At 39.3% G+C, this 19654-nt stretch overlaps 1 protein-coding gene across 1 annotated transcript in view; it reads left to right on the top strand.

Annotated features, from left to right (window-relative positions):
- Nucleotides 1-19654, top strand: part of ACAA2 (acetyl-CoA acyltransferase 2) — a 31370-nt gene that overhangs the window by 3778 nt on the left and 7938 nt on the right. The window contains exons 2-7 of the mRNA NM_006111.3: nt 6903-7069; nt 12162-12290; nt 13875-13991; nt 15329-15476; nt 17429-17604; nt 18157-18286. Of these exons, the coding sequence (NP_006102.2) occupies nt 6903-7069; nt 12162-12290; nt 13875-13991; nt 15329-15476; nt 17429-17604; nt 18157-18286 (867 nt within the window). The remainder of the gene's footprint in view (nt 1-6902; nt 7070-12161; nt 12291-13874; nt 13992-15328; nt 15477-17428; nt 17605-18156; nt 18287-19654) is intronic.

The following is a 19654-nucleotide window of genomic DNA, read 5'->3' as shown; positions in this document are numbered from 1 at the left end:
TAAACATCATCTGTGATTCACTTATTTATCCCTGTCTCTGAACCCCTGGCAAGCACTGATCTTTTTACTGTCTCCATAGCTTTGCCTTTTCCAGATATCATGTAGTTGGAATCATACAGTATATGGCCTTTCCAGACTGGCTTCTTTCACTTAGCGACATGCATTTAAGATTCCTTCCTTTTATGGCTTGATAGCTCACTTCTTTTTATTGCTGAATAATATTCCATTGTATGGCTGCACCACAGTTTGTTTATCCATTCACCTGTTGAAGGACATTGTTGTGGGAAGTCAGGGACCCTGAATGGAGGGACCGGCTAGAGCTGTGGCAGAGGAACATAAATTGTGAAGATTTCATGGACATTTATCACTTCCCTAATAATACTCTTAACGCCTGTCTTACTTTAATCTCTTAATCCCGTTATCTTCGTAAGCTGAGGATGTACGTCACCTCAGGTCCACTGTGATGATTGTGTTAACTGTACAAATTGATTGTAAAACGTGTGTTTGAGCAATATGAAATCAGTGCACCTTGAACAGAATAACAGCGATTTTTAGGGAACAAGGGAAGATAACCATAAGGTCTTTACTGCCTGCGGGGTCGGGCAGTAGGAGCCATATTTTTCTTCTTGCAGAGAGCCTATAAACGGATATGCAAGTAGGAGAGATATCACTAAATTCTTTTCCTAGCAAGGAATGTTAAGACCCTAGGAAAAGAATTGTATTCCTGGGGGGAGGTCTATAAATGGCCGCTCTGGGAGTGTCTGTCTTATGCGGTTGAGATAAGGACTGAAATACCCCCTGGTCTCCTGCAGTACCCTCAGGCTTATTAGGGTGGGGAAAAAACGCTTCTTGGTAAATTTGAGGTCAGACCAGTTCTCTGCTATTGAACACTGTTTTCTGTTGTTTAAGATGTTTATCAAGACAATATGTGCACAGCTGAACATAGGCCCTTATCAGGAGTTTTTGATTTTGCCCTTTGCCTTGTGATCTTTGCTTTGTCCTTTGCCTTGTGATCTTTATTGGCCTCAGAAGCATGTGATCTTTGTTCTCCTTTTTGCCCTTTGAAGCATATGATCTTTGTGACCTACTCCCTGTTCGTACACCTGCTCCCCTTTTGAAATCCTTAATAAAAACCTGCTGGTTTTGTGGTTCAGGTGGGCATCCTGGACCTACCGATATGTGATGTCACCCCCGGCGGCCCAGCTGTAAAATTCCTCTCTTTGTACTCTTTCTGTTTCTCAGACCGGCCGACACTTAAGGAAAATAGAACCTACACTGAAATATTGGGGGGCGGGTTCCCATGATAGGACATCGTGGTTGCCTTCAAGTTTTAACAATTAGGAATAAACATTTGTTTGCAGGTTTTTGTTTGAACATAAGTTTTCAAATCATTTAGGTAAATACAAGGAACCTGATTGCTGTATCATACATATGGTTAGGTGTGTTTAGTTTTATAAGAAACTGCCAAAGTGTCTTCCAAGCTGGCCATACCATTTGCATTCCCACCAGCAGTGAATGAATTTCTGTTGTTCCACATCCTCACCAGTGTTTGGTGTTGTCAGTGTTTGGGATTTTAGCCTTTCTAAAATCCAAAAGACTAATAGTTGTGTAGTAGTATCTCATTGTTTTAATTTGCAATTCCCTAATGACATACAATGTTGAGCATCTTTTCATATGCTTATTTGCCATCTGTATATCTTCTTTAGTAAGGTATCTGTTCAGATCTTTTGCCCATTTTTAAATTGGGTTGCATGGGTTTTTTTTTTTTTTTTTAATTGCTGAGCTGTAAGAACACTTTGTATGTTTTGGATACCAGTCCCTTATCAGTTAGGTGTTTTTATAAATATTTTCTCCTAGTCTGTCGCTTGTCTTTTCATTCTCTTAACAGCATCTTTTGCAGAGCAGAGGTTATTTATTCATTTGTTTTTAGAGGGTCCCGCTCTGTCACCCAGGCTGGAGTACAGTGGTGTGAACACGGCCACTGTAGCCTTGACCTCCTGGGCTCTAGCAGTCCCCTTGCCTCAGCCTCCCAAGTGGCTAGGACCACAAGCACACACCACCATGCTTGGCTGATTTCTTAATTTTTTATAGAGACAGGGTCCCATCATGTCTCCCAGGCTGGTCTCAAACTCCTGGGCTCAAGCAGTCCTCCCACCTTGGCCTTCCAAAATGCTGGGATTATAGGCATGAGCCACTGCACACAGCCAGAAGTTTTCTATTTTAATGAAGTCCAACCTAAGTTTTCCCTTCATGGATCCTGCTTTTGGTGTTAGATCTAAAAAATTATCACCAAACCCAAAGCCATGTAGATTTTTCTCGTATGTTCTAAGAGTTTTGCATTTTATATTTAAGTCTATGATCTCTTTGTTTTTGTTTCTGTTTTTTTAGATAAGAGATCTCACTCTGTCACCCAGGCTGGAGTGCAGTGACTTGATTGTAGCCCACGGTAGCCTTGAACTCAGCCTCCTGAATAGCTGGGACTACAGGCACATGCCACTATGCCCAACTAATTTTTTACATTTTTTAGAGATGGGGATCTCGCTATGTTGCCTAGGCTGGTTTCAAACTCCTATCCTGACACAGTCCTCCCACCTCAGCCTCTTGAGTAGCTGAGATTATAGGCTTGAGCCACAGTGCCCAGCCCACTATCAAAGTTGACGCATTTTTGCCTGGATTCATTTTGTTTGGTATATAGATGTTTTGTTGTTCCAGCACTGTTTGTTGGAAAGACGATCCTTTTTCCAGTGAATTGCCTTTCCTCCTTTGTCAGACCTTGAGGTTCTGGCTTTGTTTTTTAATCTTTTTTTTTTCATCTGTTCTTCAGATTGGTTAATTTCTATTTATCTATCTTCAAAGTCGCTGAATTTTTCTCCTTTCATTTCTATTTTGCTGTTAAGCCCATCCAGGGAATTTTTTATTTCAGGTATTTTCCAGTTTTGGAATTTCCATTTTGGATTTTTATAGTATGTATTTCTTTACTGAGATGTCCTATGTTTTATTAGGAGCATATTTTCCTCTACATCCTTGAGCATAGTTGTAATAGAATGCTATTTTAAAATCCTTGTCTGCTAATTTCAGTGTCTGGGTCTTCTTGGGATTGGTCTCTGTTGATTGTCATATTTTTTGTTTCCTCATATGTGGATTAACTTTGAATTATATTATGAATATTGCAGATGGAACATTGTGGAGACTGGATTCTGTTATAATCCTGCAGACAGAACTGACTTATTGATTGGTTGGCTATTTATTTTTTGTAGACAGTTACTTTGCCTACAAAATCACCCCCATGCACCCCCGTGATAAACTATGTCTCCCCTTGTAGTGGGCAGCAGCTTAAATCTAAGTTCAGTTTTTTAAGGCTTGGCTTAGGTGCTTGTGGTCTGACCTACACATGAATGGCTAAGGAGTCAGCCAAATATTTGGGCAGAGTTTATATGTGAAATTTGGAATCTCGCTCTATGGTGCTCCTCTTTCCCAGATTCTCATTCACTTTCTAGTGGCTGTGCTTACCATGAATTTTATTCTCTGATTCTTCAAGCCAGTAAGACTGTTTCTGAGTTCTAGCCATTCCATGCATCATGGACTGTTAGTCTTCAAGTTAGTTGCTATAAATAAATTGGACACTTACCCTGTTCTGTTCCCTTCCTCTAAGTATCAACTCTTCTCCTTACCTGTCTAGTTTTGTTCATTTCCAAGACCGTCAGGTAGTAGTTGTTCTTATATATTGTCTGGAGTTTTTCATTGTTATCTGTTGGAGGGTTGGTCAGATAGGAGCATAGTAGGCCATGACCAGAAGCAGAACTAATGAAATTAGGAAGAAGGCATGGAAAGAGGAAAGAAGAATGAAATAAAGCAACCACTGATAGGCCAGGTGCAGTAGCTCATGCCTATAATCCTAGCAGTTTGGGAGGCCAAGGTGGGAGGATTGCTTGAGCCCAGGAGTTCGAGACCAGCCTGGGAAACATAGCAAGACCCCATCTCTACAAAAAAAAAAAAGAAAAAAAGGTAAAAATTAGCCAGGTGTGGTGGCACATGCCTGTAGTCCTACCTACTTGGGAGGCTGAGGCAGGGGGATCACTTGAGTTGGGAAAGTCGAGGCTGCAGAGGTCGAGGCTGCAGGGAGCTGTGATCACATCACTGCACTCTAGCCTGGGCACAGAGCAAGACTGTCTCAAAAAAAAAAGAAAACACTGATATAAAAATAGGCAGAGACTGTTAAGGAAGGAGGATGAAAGGAAACTTGAAAAGATTCAGGAAGGCATCATGGTACAGAATAACCAATTTACCAGAACAAAACGTTTGTAATGCACTCGACTAGTATTTATGGCCTTTTGTAACTATCTGAATTTGTATCTGTAAAAAACTGAGTGGATCTGTTCTAAATTATAGTTATATATATTGCTCCTAATATTCCTTTAAACTGCAAATTTCTCAAAATAGGAATGAAAAGAGAGGTTGAAATAGAAATATTTTAGGCTAGGCTTGGTTTGTTTGATGAAAGAGATCATAAACTGGAAGATTATACTTAGATACCAGTAGTGGTATAATGCTTGAATAGTCTCATTTGTAGATCAGTATCTTATCACAAACCCATTGCCGAAAGTCCCATAATTTCTTGACAAGATGTGGAAATGTGAGCTTAGATTGTCTTGGAGAGAATAAAGTTAGTATATGCAAAGTGCTAGCATGAAGTCTATTCCATAGTAAGTGTCCCCTCTATGTTAGCTATAATATTTACCTTGCAGAGTTGCTGGGAAGATTAGCTTTTGTGTGGAAAGTGATAAAATGTCTAGTATTTAGTAGACACCTAATGAATGTCAATATGATGAAATGGCTATAACTGATGCTGCTTACTGATATGCCGGTTTTGCACTGTACAGCTCTAATGATGATGAGTGGGTACCACTCACATCATAATCATATATTTGTATAGTCACAAGTTTTTTTTTGGCAGATGGTAGTAGGTGATTGGGAAGGGGTGATTTTTATTTATTTGTACAAGGACACCGATTTAACTAATAGTGATGCTGCAAATTTATAGTCTTAGTTTGTATTAGTAGATGTATAGATAATTCCTCTATTCTTTGTGATTAGATAAAATGCATGCTATTTTTGTTATATTCTTATATTCTAAGGGACACATTTTAATAGGATGTTGGCAAACTACAGTGTCTTTAGAGGAAAGCAGTCAGAATTAATGTCAAATAAAAAACTATTGAAAGAATGCCTTTAATTTACCTGAGATGAGAGTCACTAGGTTTGGGGACTTACAGGTTAGCTGACTTCAGATACTGGAGGTGGGGGATACACATGTAGAAGGTAACCTGTTTTGCCCATTTTTTTTCTAAGAGTAAAAGATAATAGTTCAGGTTATTTATTTGAAGTCTGTAACTTGAGTCATCCTGTGACTCTAGAACCGGTAGCAGCATATATTCTAGAAACTACATCTCTATCTGTGTTGGTGCTTTTGGAGAGAACTAGAATTGGTGGATGGAAGACTTTGTAAGCTGAGTTAGTTCAATATAAAGAAATATCATTCGTTGGGGCCGGGAGTGGGTGACTCACGCCTGTAATTCTAGCACTTTGGGAGGCTGAGGTGGGTGGATCCCCTGAGGTCAGGAGTTCAAGACCAGCCTGGCCAACATGGTGAAACCCCGTCTCTACTAAAAATACAAAAATTAGCCGGGCCTGGTGGTGGGTGTCTGTAGTCCCAGCTACTCGGGAGGCTGAGGCAGGAGAATCACTTGAACCCGGGAGGCGGAGGTTGCAGTGAGCCGAAATCGCGCCACTGCGCTCCAGCCTGGGCGACAAGAGCAAAACTCTGTCTCCAAAAAAAAAAAAAAAAAAGCAATATCATTAGTTTATGTTGTCCATGACCAGCACACTGTTTCATGCAGTAGAGTATGCCCTCTTACTGAAAGTTTCCTGGCAGAGGTTTAGAGAGAACCTTTTGTCAGGAATTTTTAGAGGTAGTTCTTATAGAGTGAGTGGTTGACCTCAGACAACCCTAAGGCACCTTCTAGTTTGGAGATTCTTTTATTCTAATACTAGGCAATATACTCCAGCACATAGAAGAAGGATTTTAGTTCTCAACATATGTTTCTAGCATTGTGAAGCATCAGAGAACAAGAAAGTTGTCTAACCAGAATGGCTTTACATCACAGTGTAGCAGGACGAGCCACAGTCAAAACTCCTCAGACACTGGATTAAAGAAGGAAGAGGCTTTATTTGGCTTGGAGCATCCACCAACTTGCGTCTTAAGAGCCGAGCTCCCTCAAAAAGAAATTCTTGGCCCTTTTAAGGGCTTACAACTCTAAGGGGTCCACCTGAAAGGATGGTGATAGATCAAGCAAGTGTGGGGAACGTGACTGGGGGCTACATGCATTAGCTTACAGAGCAGAAAGTTTTGCAATGCTTTTTCATACAATGTCTGGAAATTACAGATAACACAAGTAGTTTAGGTCAGGGATTGATATTATTATTATTATTATTATTATTATTATTATTATTATTATTTTAACTACCAGGGCCGGGTGGTGGCACCAGGCCATCTGGCTATTTATCTTACTTCTGTTTCTTTTTAACTTTTTGCTTTTTTCTTTTCCTCCTGTTTTATAAACTAGGCAAGGGGGGCGGGGTGCGCAGGAGAAGTGGTGGTCTTCTTCCTTAACAGCATGCAGTGCAGTTCTTGGTACCTGCATGTAGGTAAAGATCAAACTGTCAAACTGGTAGTCCTTAAGACTCTGCTTCCATGGGTATGACTTGTTCTAGGTATTATTGCCTAACAGAAATTTCCATTATCTAATTTTAAATTGTGTAAGGTTTCACAGTGAGATTATTCGAAGCATTTAGAGGTATTTACTAACCTGTGATGGCTTACAAATCTCTTCTTGTTGCAATAGGTGTGTTTGTAGTTGCTGCTAAGCGAACGCCCTTTGGAGCTTACGGAGGCCTTCTGAAAGACTTCACTGCTACTGACTTGTCTGAATTTGCTGCCAAGGCTGCCTTGTCTGCTGGCAAAGTCTCACCTGAAACAGTTGACAGTGTGATTATGGGCAATGTCCTGCAGGTTAGTAGAGTAAAGGAAGGTGTTCACTCCTATTGCTTCTTTGATCAGTTTCTAAAAATAATTCCTTTAACATATCATAATGGTAAACAAGTTAATAATAGTTATAGACTTTTTTTTTTTTTTTTTGAGATGGAGTCTCGCTCTGCCGCCAGGCTGGAGTATGGTGGTGCGATCTTGGCTCGCTGCAACTTCCGCCTCCCGGGTTCAAGCAATTCTCCTGCCTCAGCCTCCCGAGTAGCTGGGATTACAGGCGTGTGCCACCAAGCCCAGCTAATTTTTGTGTTTTTAATAGAGACAGGGTTTTACCACATTGGCCAGGATGGTCTCGATCTCTTGACCTCGTGATTCTCCTGTCTCGGCCCCCCAAAGTGCTGGGATGACAGGCGTGAGCCACCACTCCCAGCCAATAGTTACAGACTTTATACGTTTGTAATTTGAGTAATTCTGTGACTCCAGAATCAACAGCATGCATAATTCAAAGCATCATATGTTCTAGAAACTGTATGTCTGACTTGGGATGCATTTCAGTGCTTCCTAAATAGCAGATTGACTTCCTTGGCTTACTTGAAGTTAATTGATCTTCTCTATATGCCACCTTAGTAAACCCAAGCCATTACAGCACACCTCCCCTAATTTTCTTACACATTGTAGGAGCTTGATCAGTGTTTGTTGTAAGAAATAAGATGCTTCCTTACCCTCTGTCTTGCTATGTGTGATGTACAAAATCAATCATTCATATGCAGGTAATTGAAAATTCAGAATTCCTTTAAAGTATACAAACATTTGTTGGATACCTAGTTAGAGGCTATTATAGGTGCTATGGCACCCAAGGTGGACCAAAAGGAGGTAATAATCTAATGAAAAAGATAAGATATATATATATATATATATATATATATATGATCAGTTTCTGTGATATATCTTATGTATCATATATACACACACAAATATATATATGATACATATATTTAAAGATGTCAATGATGTGATCATTGCTAAAGGAAAGAGAATGACAATGGACACAGAAGTCACTAGGCCTTGCATTTGAACTTGATGCTGTTCATCTTGCCGTTGTGTATCTTCACATCCAGAAAAAGCAGTGACTTTTTTCCTTTGGCAGTTATGTCTGTTGAACCTAAAATATTTTCATAAAGAATTCTCAATATTGTCTTTTGTTCTTTTTATTTTATTTTGTAACTTTTACCTCTGACCTAAGAAGGCATTAGAACAGATTGAATAGAAATTGGATACTTCCGTTTTTTGCGTTTTCTAGAATTTTGAAGGAAAAATATTTTTTTCCCAGCATGTATTCTCTCAAACTTTATAACACAAAGTCACTATAAATAGTATCAGTTTCATTGTGTTTGTGCCTCTGTTCCTAAAGACAGTTTTTCTTGTGTTAAGTTTTCTGTCAGGCCAAGATAGAGTTTTCTTGTAAGGATGTTAAGTGCTTAACATAAATATTTGGGGTTAGGCCTTTATGGTTAAGAGAGAACAGAATATGCTTCGAATAACATTTGACAAATACCACAAAGCTGCTTTTCTAATTGAGTTTTATATTATTAAATATCACTTGGAATAAATGAGTTTTACTTATTTCATAGGAAACAATGAAATCCAATGTGGATTCTTTTTATTTCTTTTTCTTCCCTAATTGCCCTGGCTAGAATCTCCAATGTTGAATAGAAGTTATAAGAAATGGATATCTTTGTCTTATTCCTGATTATAGGGGGAAAGCATCTGGCCTTTCAACTTTACATATGATGATAGCTGTGGATTTTTTTTTTTTTTTTTTTATTGATCATTCTTGGGTGTTTCTCGCAGAGGGGGATTTGGCCCACAGGACAATAGTGGAGGGAAGGTCAGCAGACAAACAAGTGAACAAAGGTCTCTGGTTTTCCTAGGCAGAGGACCCTGCGGCCTTCTGCAGTGTTTGTGTCCCTGGGTACTTGAGATTAGGGAGTGGTGATGACTCTTAACAAGCATGCTGCCTTTCAAGCATCTGTTTAACAAAGCACATCTTGCACCGCCCTTAATCCATTTAACCTTGAGTGGACACAGCACATGTTTCAGAGAGCACGGGGTTGGGGGTAAGGTCACAGATCAACAGGATCCCAAGGCAGAAGAATTTTTCTTAGTACAAAACAAAATGAAAAGTCTCCCATGTCTACTTCTTTCCACACAGACACGGCAACCATCCGATTTCTCAATCCCTTCCCCACCTTTCCCCCCTTTCTACTCCACAAAACCGCCACGGTCATCATGGCCCGTTCTCCATGAGCTGCTGGGCACACCTCCCAGACGGGGTGGTGGCCGGGCAGAGGGGCTCCTCACTTCCCAGTAGGGGCAGCCGGGCAGAGGCGCCCCTCACCTCCCGGACGGGGCGGCTGGCCGGGCGGGGGGCTGACCCCCCCACCTCCCTCCCTCCCGGACGGGGCGGCTGGCCGGGCGGGGGGCTGACCCCCCCACCTCCCGGACGGGGCGGCTGGCCGGGCGGGGGGCTGACCCCCCACCTCCCTCCCAGACGGGGTGGCTGGCCGGCCGGGGGCTGACCCCCACCTCCCTCCCGGACGGGGCGGCTGGCCTGGTGGGGGCTGACCCCCACCTCCCTCCCGGATGGCGTGGTTGCCGGGCGGAGACGCTCCTCACTTCCCAGACAGGGTGGCTGCCAGGCGGAGGGGCTCCTCACTTCTCAGATGGGGTGGCTGCCGGGCGGAGGGGCTCCTCACTTAGACGGGGCGGTTGCCGGGCAGAGGGTCTCCTCACTTCTCAGATGGGGCAGCCGGGCAGAGACGCTCCTCACCTCCCAGATGGGGTCGCGGCCGGGCAGAGGCGCTCCCCACATCCCAGATGATGGGCGGCCGGGCAGAGACGCTCCTCACCTCCTAGACGGGATGGCGGCTGGGAAGAGGCGCCCCTCACTTCCTAGATGGGATGGCGGCCAGGCAGAGACGCTCCTCACTTTCCAGACTGGGCAGCCAGGCAGAGGGGCTCCCCACATCCCAGACGATGGGTGGCCAGGCAGAGACGCTCCTCACTTCCCAGACGGGGTGGCAGCCGGGCAGAGGCTGCAATCTCGGCACTTTGGGAGGCCAAGGCAGGCGGCTGGGAGGTGGAGGTTGTAGCGAGCAGAGATCACGCCACTGCACTCCAGCCTGGGCACTATTGAGCACTGAGTGAACAAGACTCCGTCCGCAATCCCAGCACCCCGGGAGGCCGAGGCTGGCGGATCACTCGCGGTTAGGAGCTGGAGACCAGCCAGGCCAACACAGCGAAACCCCGTCTCCACCAAAAAAATACGAAAACCAGTCAGGCGTGGCGGCGCGTGCCTGCAATCGCAGGCACTCAGCAGGCTGAGGCAGGAGAATCAGGCAGGGAGGTTGCAGTGAGCCGAGATGGCAGCAGTACAGTCCAGCTTCAGCTAGGCATCAGAGGGAGACCGTGGGGAGAGGGGGAGGAGGAGGGGGAGAGGGAGAGCTGTGGATTTTTTATAGATTCCCTTTGTCAGATTGAGAAAGTTGCCATCTGTTCCTAGTTTGTTCAGTGTTTTTGTCATGAAAGGGTGTTGTATTTTGTCAAATACTTTTTCTGTTGACTTTTTGTGTTGAAATCCACATTGGATTTCATTGTTTCCTAAGAAATAAGTAAAACTCATTTATTCCAAGTGATATTTAATAATATTAAACTCAATTAGAAAAGCAGCTTTGTGGTATTTGTCAAATGTTATTCGAAGCATATTCTGTTCTCTCTTAACCATAAAGGCCTAACCCCAAATATTTATCTGTTAATAATTTACACGAGATGATCGTGTAAATTTTTTTTATTCTGTTGATATGTGATATTTGACAAACCTTGGCAAAAGAATATCCATTGGCCAAGAATTTTTTTAATGACATTAATTTGTAAAATAAGATAATTTCATCTCAGTCAACAGATGAAACATTTAGTTAGTAGATTAATTGATGTTATACTGAGTTCCTCCCAGTTCCATCTGCATTCAAAACCCTTAACTTATAAATGTGCCGAATTTGTCAAGTTTTGAAAAACTTGAAACCTACACAAAAGTTAAAAGAATAGTACAATGAACATCCTAAAACCCCGTACCTTGATAGACCAATGTTTTACATTTTGTCAAACTTGCTTTTGCTCTTGCTAACAGCCTCCAAAACAGGCTGTTAATGTTTTTGGTTGTTGTTGGTTTTTTTTTTTTAAGTCATTCTTTTTATTCAAAGTGTGGTTCTTGGACTAGCAACATCAGCTTCACCAGGGAAATGGTTAGAAATGCAGAATCTCCGGCAGACCTAGACCTGTTGATTCAGAACTTACATTTTATTATAACAAGACGCCCCCATATGCATTTTAAAGTTTTGGGAGTGGTGGTCTACTCCTACCTCTTACTCTCCTGACCAATCATTCATCTGTCTTCTCCCTAAGTATGCAGTCCTCAGCCTGTTTTACATTAGAATTACTTGGGATGCTTTTTAAAAGTGACTACTGATGCCCAGGCCCCACCTCCAGCCTTTCTGGTTTAATTGATTTGCTTAGGAACTTAAGCATGAGTATGTTAATAAAGCTTCCTAGGTTATTCCAGCCTGCAACCAAGGTTGAGAACCACAGCCTCCGATACTTCCTCTGTTAAGGAGCATACTACTTTAGGATAGCGTATTCCATTTTTAAATAACTCTAATTGTTATAAATTTCTGTCTTATATTAAGGACTTAATGGGATTTCTCTAAGTAGCAATTATCTTTAATATATTTGAAAACCAATTGACTGTGGTTACACAACATTATGAATGTATTTAAATAATACCATTGAACTATACACTTAAAAATGGTTACAATGATACATTTTGTTATGTGTATTTTGCCCCAATAAAAAAATAGAAAAAAACCCAATTGACTGTAGTTTTTATTCAAATTGTAAACACATATTAGATATAATATGCTGTACTTAGATGCATTTTGTCCTACCTTAGAGCCATATAGTTTATCATTTTTGATAGATTGCCAACATTTCCATGTATTTCGTGCTTGTTCTTAATTAGTAGATTTATAGAGAAAATTATTTTTCTTTTCCTTCTCTCTTCTAGAGTTCTTCAGATGCTATATATTTGGCAAGGCATGTTGGTTTGCGTGTGGGAATCCCAAAGGAGACCCCAGCTCTCACGATTAATAGGCTCTGTGGTTCTGGTTTTCAGTCCATTGTGAATGGATGTCAGGTATGGACAACATTTTTTTAAATTCTCTGAAAATATGTTAATAGTTACTAGAAGAAATGTCCCACTGCAATATAACACTTTAGCTTTAGGGAGGATTGCTTGAGCCCTGGAGGTCAAGTAAACCATGATCATACCACTGCACTCCAGCCATGGGCAACAGAGTGAGACCTTGGCTCCAAAAAAAAGAAAAAAAAAAAAAAGCTAATAATGAACCTGAAAGTGGAATAAGCCTGTCATAAAAGGACAAATACTGTATGTTTCTACTTCTTTGAGATACCTAGCGTAGTCAAATTCATAGAGACAGAAAGTAGAATGGTGTTCCCAGGGACTGGTGAGGGAAAGTTAGTGTTTAATGGATATGGAGTTTCAGTTTTGCAAGATGAAAAGCGTTCTGGAGATGGGTGATGGTAATGGTTGCATCACACTATGAATACACTTAAACTACTGAGCTGTATACTTAAAAATGGTTAAAATGGTAAGTATTATATATATATATATACTTCAATATTTTTAAAAGCTAGTATGTTCATCATTCTTTCGAGTGCTTCCTACATGCTAGGCACCCTGCTAGATTTACATTCAATATCTCATTTAATCTTACAACCATCCTATGAAGCAAGAACTATTATTATTATTCCCATTTTACAGGCAAGGAAACTGATTAAAGCCATTAAGGTTACTCAGTCATAGAATTTGAACCCAGGTCTGTGAGTGTTACCTGTGAGGCACTGAATAAAGACCGTGAGGCAAGCAGGAAATCTCAAGAATTTAGGAGAGGATAAGGAAATGTATTTTATTTCAAAGGAAGTGAATGATGCTGTTAGTAGAAGTACAAACTAGTTTGACCTTTTTAAAGGACAGTTGGTTAAATACATTTGTTTCTTTGAGCACAGAGAAGAAAGTGAAATCCAATTTCATTTGTAAAAGTCTTCATTTTATTACAAACAAAATAAGAGCCAGAGGCGTATTTTAATAAAACAATTTTCACATTAATTTGTTTCTATAACGATATATCTTAAATAGTGACCTCGGTTTTCCTAGTAATAATTTTAAGAACCATCAGGTTCATAGAGGCTCATTATTTGCTCCTTTTCTGAGAAAGGCAAACAGTGGAAAGTGTTGGAAGAATGAAGTGGTTTCCTTTTTATGAGTCACCTAGATTGAACTAGTTCTTGTAAATCTCTGTTCTTGTTCAGATACATCCATTAATGGGATAAATTTTTCTTTTGCCTTTTTAAAGGGTATGTCCTTTATTATCTGCTGTACATTTATGCCAGGTATTAATATCTGTTGATTTTCAAGATTTATATTGTGTTAAGAATTACTATTCTTAGCCACATGTAGGTAGGGCCTGTTACTCAGGCAAACATGATTGAAACCTTTTAGTTTTCTCCTCCTACATCTTGGTAATGGATACTTTAGCATTTGCTTTACAGTTACTTTAAAAGCATTTCCTTTTGAGACACTGTAAGCTACAGTACAATATTTGTTTGATTTACCATTAATTTGTAAAATCAGTGTGTTTCTTAATACATTGTTTGGGTACGGTAAAAGGAGTTTTTATTACTGTTTGTTTTTAAATAGGAAATTTGTGTTAAAGAAGCTGAAGTTGTTTTATGTGGAGGAACCGAAAGCATGAGCCAAGCTCCCTACTGTGTCAGAAATGTGCGTTTTGGAACCAAGCTTGGATCAGATATCAAGGTTGGAACCATAAAAATTTAAAAGAATTAGTTCTTATTAGCATTATATAAGTACTTTTAATAACATACCTTTTTATGGGAGAGAAAACTAATTTTGAAGCCAATTTCGTTGATGAGGATTGGCAAGATATGAATGATTAGAAGTTTGTAAACTATTTCAAAACTCTATTTTGGTGGTTAGTTTTGACATTTTAACCCATATGAAATTAGATTCTATCTATCTCAGCAGACCTCTAGTAGTATAATTATCCTGTGTAAGTGGCCATAGGCATGGGAGAGATGGAGGAAGGGAAGAAGTGGATTAAAAAGATAGACAAAAGAGTGAATTAATCTCACTACTAAACAATTAGTAATCTGAGTAATTAAATCTTTAACGTGACTTATAGAAGTTTTATTTCTGGGACAGTCTCAGAATAGATTTCTTCATCATCACAGAAAACATCTTTGAATACAGATTATATTGTCCCAAATCAAACAAAAACTGATTCTTTTATCTTTGAGAGCTACAACTTGAGAATGATGGTACAGTACTGATAAAGAATGATGTTTTCTTCTCATTCCCATGTGAAAGGGCTACTGACATTTTATATTTTTTAGCATTTTCTATAGTAATGTTTGACTCACACTGTTCACCCAGTTTCTCACCTGGCCTTTTTGGAAGTTGAAAGGAATGGGACTTAAGAGAATCTATGCGGATTTTAGCCACCAAACACATTTGAGATATCTTTTATGAAGACAGGTCAGTGAGTTAAATGTTGATGAGGCAGCAAAGTGGGGCACACTTACCAGAGACTAACTACTTGAATAATAATTAACAACCTTTCTGTAACTCTGGGAACCTGTCCCAAGATCTTTTCAGCCTCATAGTAACCGATAGAACCAGCTATTCCTGTCACTGAGGCGCAGGATGAAAAAGAAAAACAGATAATACTGTTTATTACAGAGCTCAGGGCTGGTTTACAAAGATGGCTATAAGAAAACATTGCATGAAGACTCATTGTCAGGTTTTCTACAAAATATGACCTTGAGGATTTAATTTTTGATCGTAGGGTAACTTCTGTGATCTCACCATGCACGTCTAGTCCTGTTAGCTGTTCTTAGACCCCCACATTTAGAGAGGGACAGAGAATGTGTGCATTTTATTTTGTGACATTGAATGTTTTCAAAAACATTGCATGTTTTTAAAAAATATCCCATAACTGAATATGAATAGTGGTTATCAGAAAGTCTTAATTTTACTTTTGTTTATTGGAAGTGTTGATTATTTAAAGAAATTATAACATATTACTTTTAAAAGGAAATGCCTTAACAAGTCACTTTATTAATGTCTTTTAATAGCTGGAAGATTCTTTATGGGTATCATTAACAGATCAGCATGTCCAGCTCCCCATGGCAATGACTGCAGAGAATCTTGCTGTAAAACACAAAATAAGCAGAGAAGAATGTGACAAATATGCCCTGCAGTCACAGCAGAGATGGAAAGCTGGTGAGTGAAACTGGAAAGTATCAGTATCTATAGAATAAATATCTATAGGAAATATTTTCATCATTTCTATTATGGTTATATAATATTTACAAATCATACCTTTAAGAATTATTACATCTTTTCATTATTCCTTTGTCTTTAGATGATCAGATATTTTATTAATTATTGCAAAATTAACTAGGAATTTCTCTTTTGAAAAAGTTAGTACTACTTAAAAAGTGGTATTGCTACTTGACCCTAGATGGACCCTTGAGTTTTGTGCTGAACTGGTCCTGTTGTCAGTAGAACATGATGAGGAATACGATACGTTCTGTCAGAGGTGATAGCTCACTGTGGCAACTGGAATATAGAGGATGTCCTCTCCCACAAGCCATATCATAATCATAAGAAGGGGTAATGTATTTGGAAAAGACCCACTGGGTCTTTTATGCTTTCCTTCTGCCACTCCTAATTAAGAATCATTGTACCTAACTCAGAGACTTAGAACTAGTCCGAGACTCTAGTTAGAGTGCCCTGGTGTAGCACAGCAGGTTGCTATAGAGCCGGTCCAAAACAGGCAAATGTGACAGCAGTTCTTTTAGCAGTGCAGCAAGTTGAAGAAATGTGATATTTAAAAAATTAAACTGTTAAAGCAAGTGGAAACTCTTATTTAGGAATATTAAATGCTTGAAGTAATGAGGATAAAGTCCATCTTAGCATTTCAGAAGGATAAGTGGAATAGAGCTGATGCCATCTAACTCGTGTGTTTTTTTACTTATATGTTCATAGTGGAAGAGGATTGGTCTAGAAGTCAAGAGTTATCAGTTCTGTTTCTACTTCTACCACGCACAAGTTATCAAGCTCAGTCATATCATTTATTCACTGAACCTCTGTAAGATAGAGATAACAATATTTGCCTTCCCTATTTATCTAATAAGGTTGTTTTAAAACCAAATAAGGGCATATAAGGAAAGTATTTTGCCAATTGTAAAGTGATATGAAAATTAAGGTTAGTATTATTCCTGACCCTATTTCCAAAGCTATAGATTACTACAGTACATTCTAGTCAGTGGAGGTCAAAGTAGGTAAGATGTTTTACTTATAATTGTATTAGTGATTGCTCCCATAATTTCTTCAGGTTGCCTATCACTATTAAGTTTCAGTTAGATTACTTTGTGGCATAGACAACTTGGTAACTTTTTAATTGCTTATCTCACCAAAAGAAGTTTAAAAGGGGTATTAAGTCCATTTATTGCCATTACATCTATAGCAAACAGACAGATGCTGCTAACAGTCTTAGCAGTACCTGGTGAAAAAAAATTGTGGTTAAAAAAATATAATTTTTAAAAATATAATTTTTAAAAGATGCAAAATGCATCTACATAAACACATGACAGTATCGTAAATCCTCCAATACGGAAGGTAAGTTGTGTAAGTAAATAGTAAAGACTCTATAATTTTTAAAAGATGCAAAATGCAACTACATAAACACATGATGGTATCGTAAATCCTCCAATACGGAAGGTAAGTTGTGTAAGTAAATAGTAAAGACTCAGGCTGAGCGTGGTGGCTCATATCTGTAATCCCAGCACTTTGGGAGGTCAAGGAGGGTGGATCACGAGGTGGTGAGTTCGAGGCTAGCATGGCCAACATGGAGAAACCCCATCTCTACTAAAAATATAAAAAAAATTAGCCGGGCATGGTGGTGGGCACCTATAATCCCAGCTACTGGGGAGGCTGAGGCAGGAGAATCACTTGAACCCGGGAGGCAGAGGTTGCAGTGAGCCGAGACTGTGCCGTTGCACTCCAGCCCAGGCGACAATGTGAGACTCCATCTCAAAAATTAATAAAGACTCAATATTAAAGTAGACTGTGAGGAAAAGGTAGATCAGAAATTAAATTGAATAATATGTTTGATTTATTTTCATGTTTCTCTCTTTTATTCTTATGATAGTCTCTCTACTATTTTTCAGCTAATGATGCTGGCTACTTTAATGATGAAATGGCACCAATTGAAGTGAAGACAAAGAAAGGAAAACAGACAATGCAGGTAGACGAGCATGCTCGGCCCCAAACCACCCTGGAACAGTTACAGAAACTTCCTCCAGTATTCAAGAAAGATGGAACTGTTACTGCAGGGAATGCATCGGTTGGTATCACCACACAGATTAGCTTGAATTCTTCCTGGTGTGTTCAACAAAAGTAATCATGAAGTATCTTGTAAATACTTTTTATGCCAGTCTTTAGTTGTTTAGCTTAAACTAATAGTGTTCATATTCAATTAATTTAGGTTTTCATAGACCCACACAAAATCTTTTCATATTTATTTATATAATACTCTTCTGATTTCTTAATTTTTTCAGAACTAAGAAATTTCAGAAACAAATCTATCTGGCTTATTTTGGTTTTCAAACTTTTTTTTTTCTCATGCATACAGTTTATCGTATTTCTTCTTACATCTACTCACATCTAGATAAAAGTTTTTCCTTGACACCCTTTTCCTTGTTCTTTAGTAAAGTTGTATTCTGTGCCTTAAAAAATCTCCTTCATCCACCACAGTACCACTTTTCTAATTGTATCTCACACTGTGCACTGGCTTCCTATGTACTGCCATATTCCTAATACTACTAGTCCATTAGTTCAAACTTTGATTAACTGGATTATTTTAGCCTTTAGTTAATCTAGTATTTTTATTTTCAAGGGTGTAGCTGATGGTGCTGGAGCTGTTATCATAGCTAGTGAAGATGCTGTTAAGAAACATAACTTCACACCACTGGCAAGAATTGTGGGCTACTTTGTATCTGGATGTGATCCCTCTATCATGGGTATTGGTAAGTTTATAGTAAAACAAACTGGTTCTATAATATTTCTGGAGGTAAGTCTTCTTTGGCATTCAGAGTCCTGAAAAAGTGGCCAAACCAAGGTCACCTGTAGAGAAAAGAAGATTGGTAATCAGTTTAAATAAAAAATCTTTATGAAGAACTGTCCTAGACACAATAGAAAAACCAAGACCGTGTAAACTCCATGGAGGAAGTAATCATATCTTAGTGTCCATTTGAGATTTAAAAAATCAACACACAGTAATTATATCTTATTGTTCCTTTGAGAGTTTAGAAATCAACACAGAAAATAACAGAAGAATTACGTGATCCTGACAAGATAAAAGAAATTATGAGATGGGAGAAATCCTGGGGTGAAACAGAGAAGGCTGTATGGAGAAGGTGGTATCGCAGCTCCTTGCTGGTTGTTTTACACACATTCAGTCTTCCCACGTCTCCAGTAAGGGAGACTTCTTTGTGAATGAGAAAATTGAGGCTTAGGGAGGTTGTCTTACAAGGTTCCAAATCAGTAAGTGACAGCCAGGGTGTGAATCCAAGTCTCTCTGAAATCAAGTGCTCTCTTCACTGTGAGTTAAACGCATAGTCTCAGGAAGTCAAATTAATATTCCTCTTGCTCAGGTGAGTATTAGCAAAATAAAGACTTATAATTAGATTGGTAAAATGCTAGATGGAAAAAATTTGGAAGTCCATAAACATGTATAGTCTTGGCTTAAAATATTTGATTTAGAAGTAGAACAAAGAGCTTTTTGCTGGATGCACTCCTAGGAACCACACACGATGCTGAATTTTAATAGTTCCTGTCATTCTCTGGGGGAACAGGGAACCAATTAGGTGCCTTACTTAGAAAAATAAAATTTGGTGCTCAGTAACTTTGATATATCCCACCTACATATAACCTCCCACTGTAAGGAAAAGCCTGCCCTAGGGTATAGATTTCAGATTGTTTAGCCCTTTTTTGAATAACTAAATTGTTTTCTGAGGTGGGTTCCAAGAGAGGAGGAGGAGGATAACCTGTTACTGACCTGCCATCTCAGAGATCCTTCAGTGTAAGCCTACAGGTTCTACTCAAACAATACCACTTACACTGACTTGGGATTAATACTCAACCATATTTGCTGCCATGTCCCTCAGAGAAGACATATCTCTGTATAGAGTTCCTAAGAAAAAAAGCTGGCATGTTCATATTTTGTCATCTTTCACTATGTGTCTCAAATTTATGTCAGCAAGAACTGCAAGATATTTTGACACATATGAAAAGTCAATCTTAAGCTTATTAGCTTTTGGCTATCCACTATTGGCAAAAGATAACTTTTGTCTTAGAAATGGAAGGTGGTGGAAAAATTAAACATCCGTATGTTG

The sequence above is a fragment of the Homo sapiens genome, chromosome 18, assembly GCF_000001405.40.
Source record: "Homo sapiens chromosome 18, GRCh38.p14 Primary Assembly".
Taxonomy (NCBI): domain Eukaryota; kingdom Metazoa; phylum Chordata; class Mammalia; order Primates; family Hominidae; genus Homo; species Homo sapiens.
Note: the sequence above shows the minus strand (reverse complement) of the source record. Positions and strands in the feature narration are given on the sequence as shown.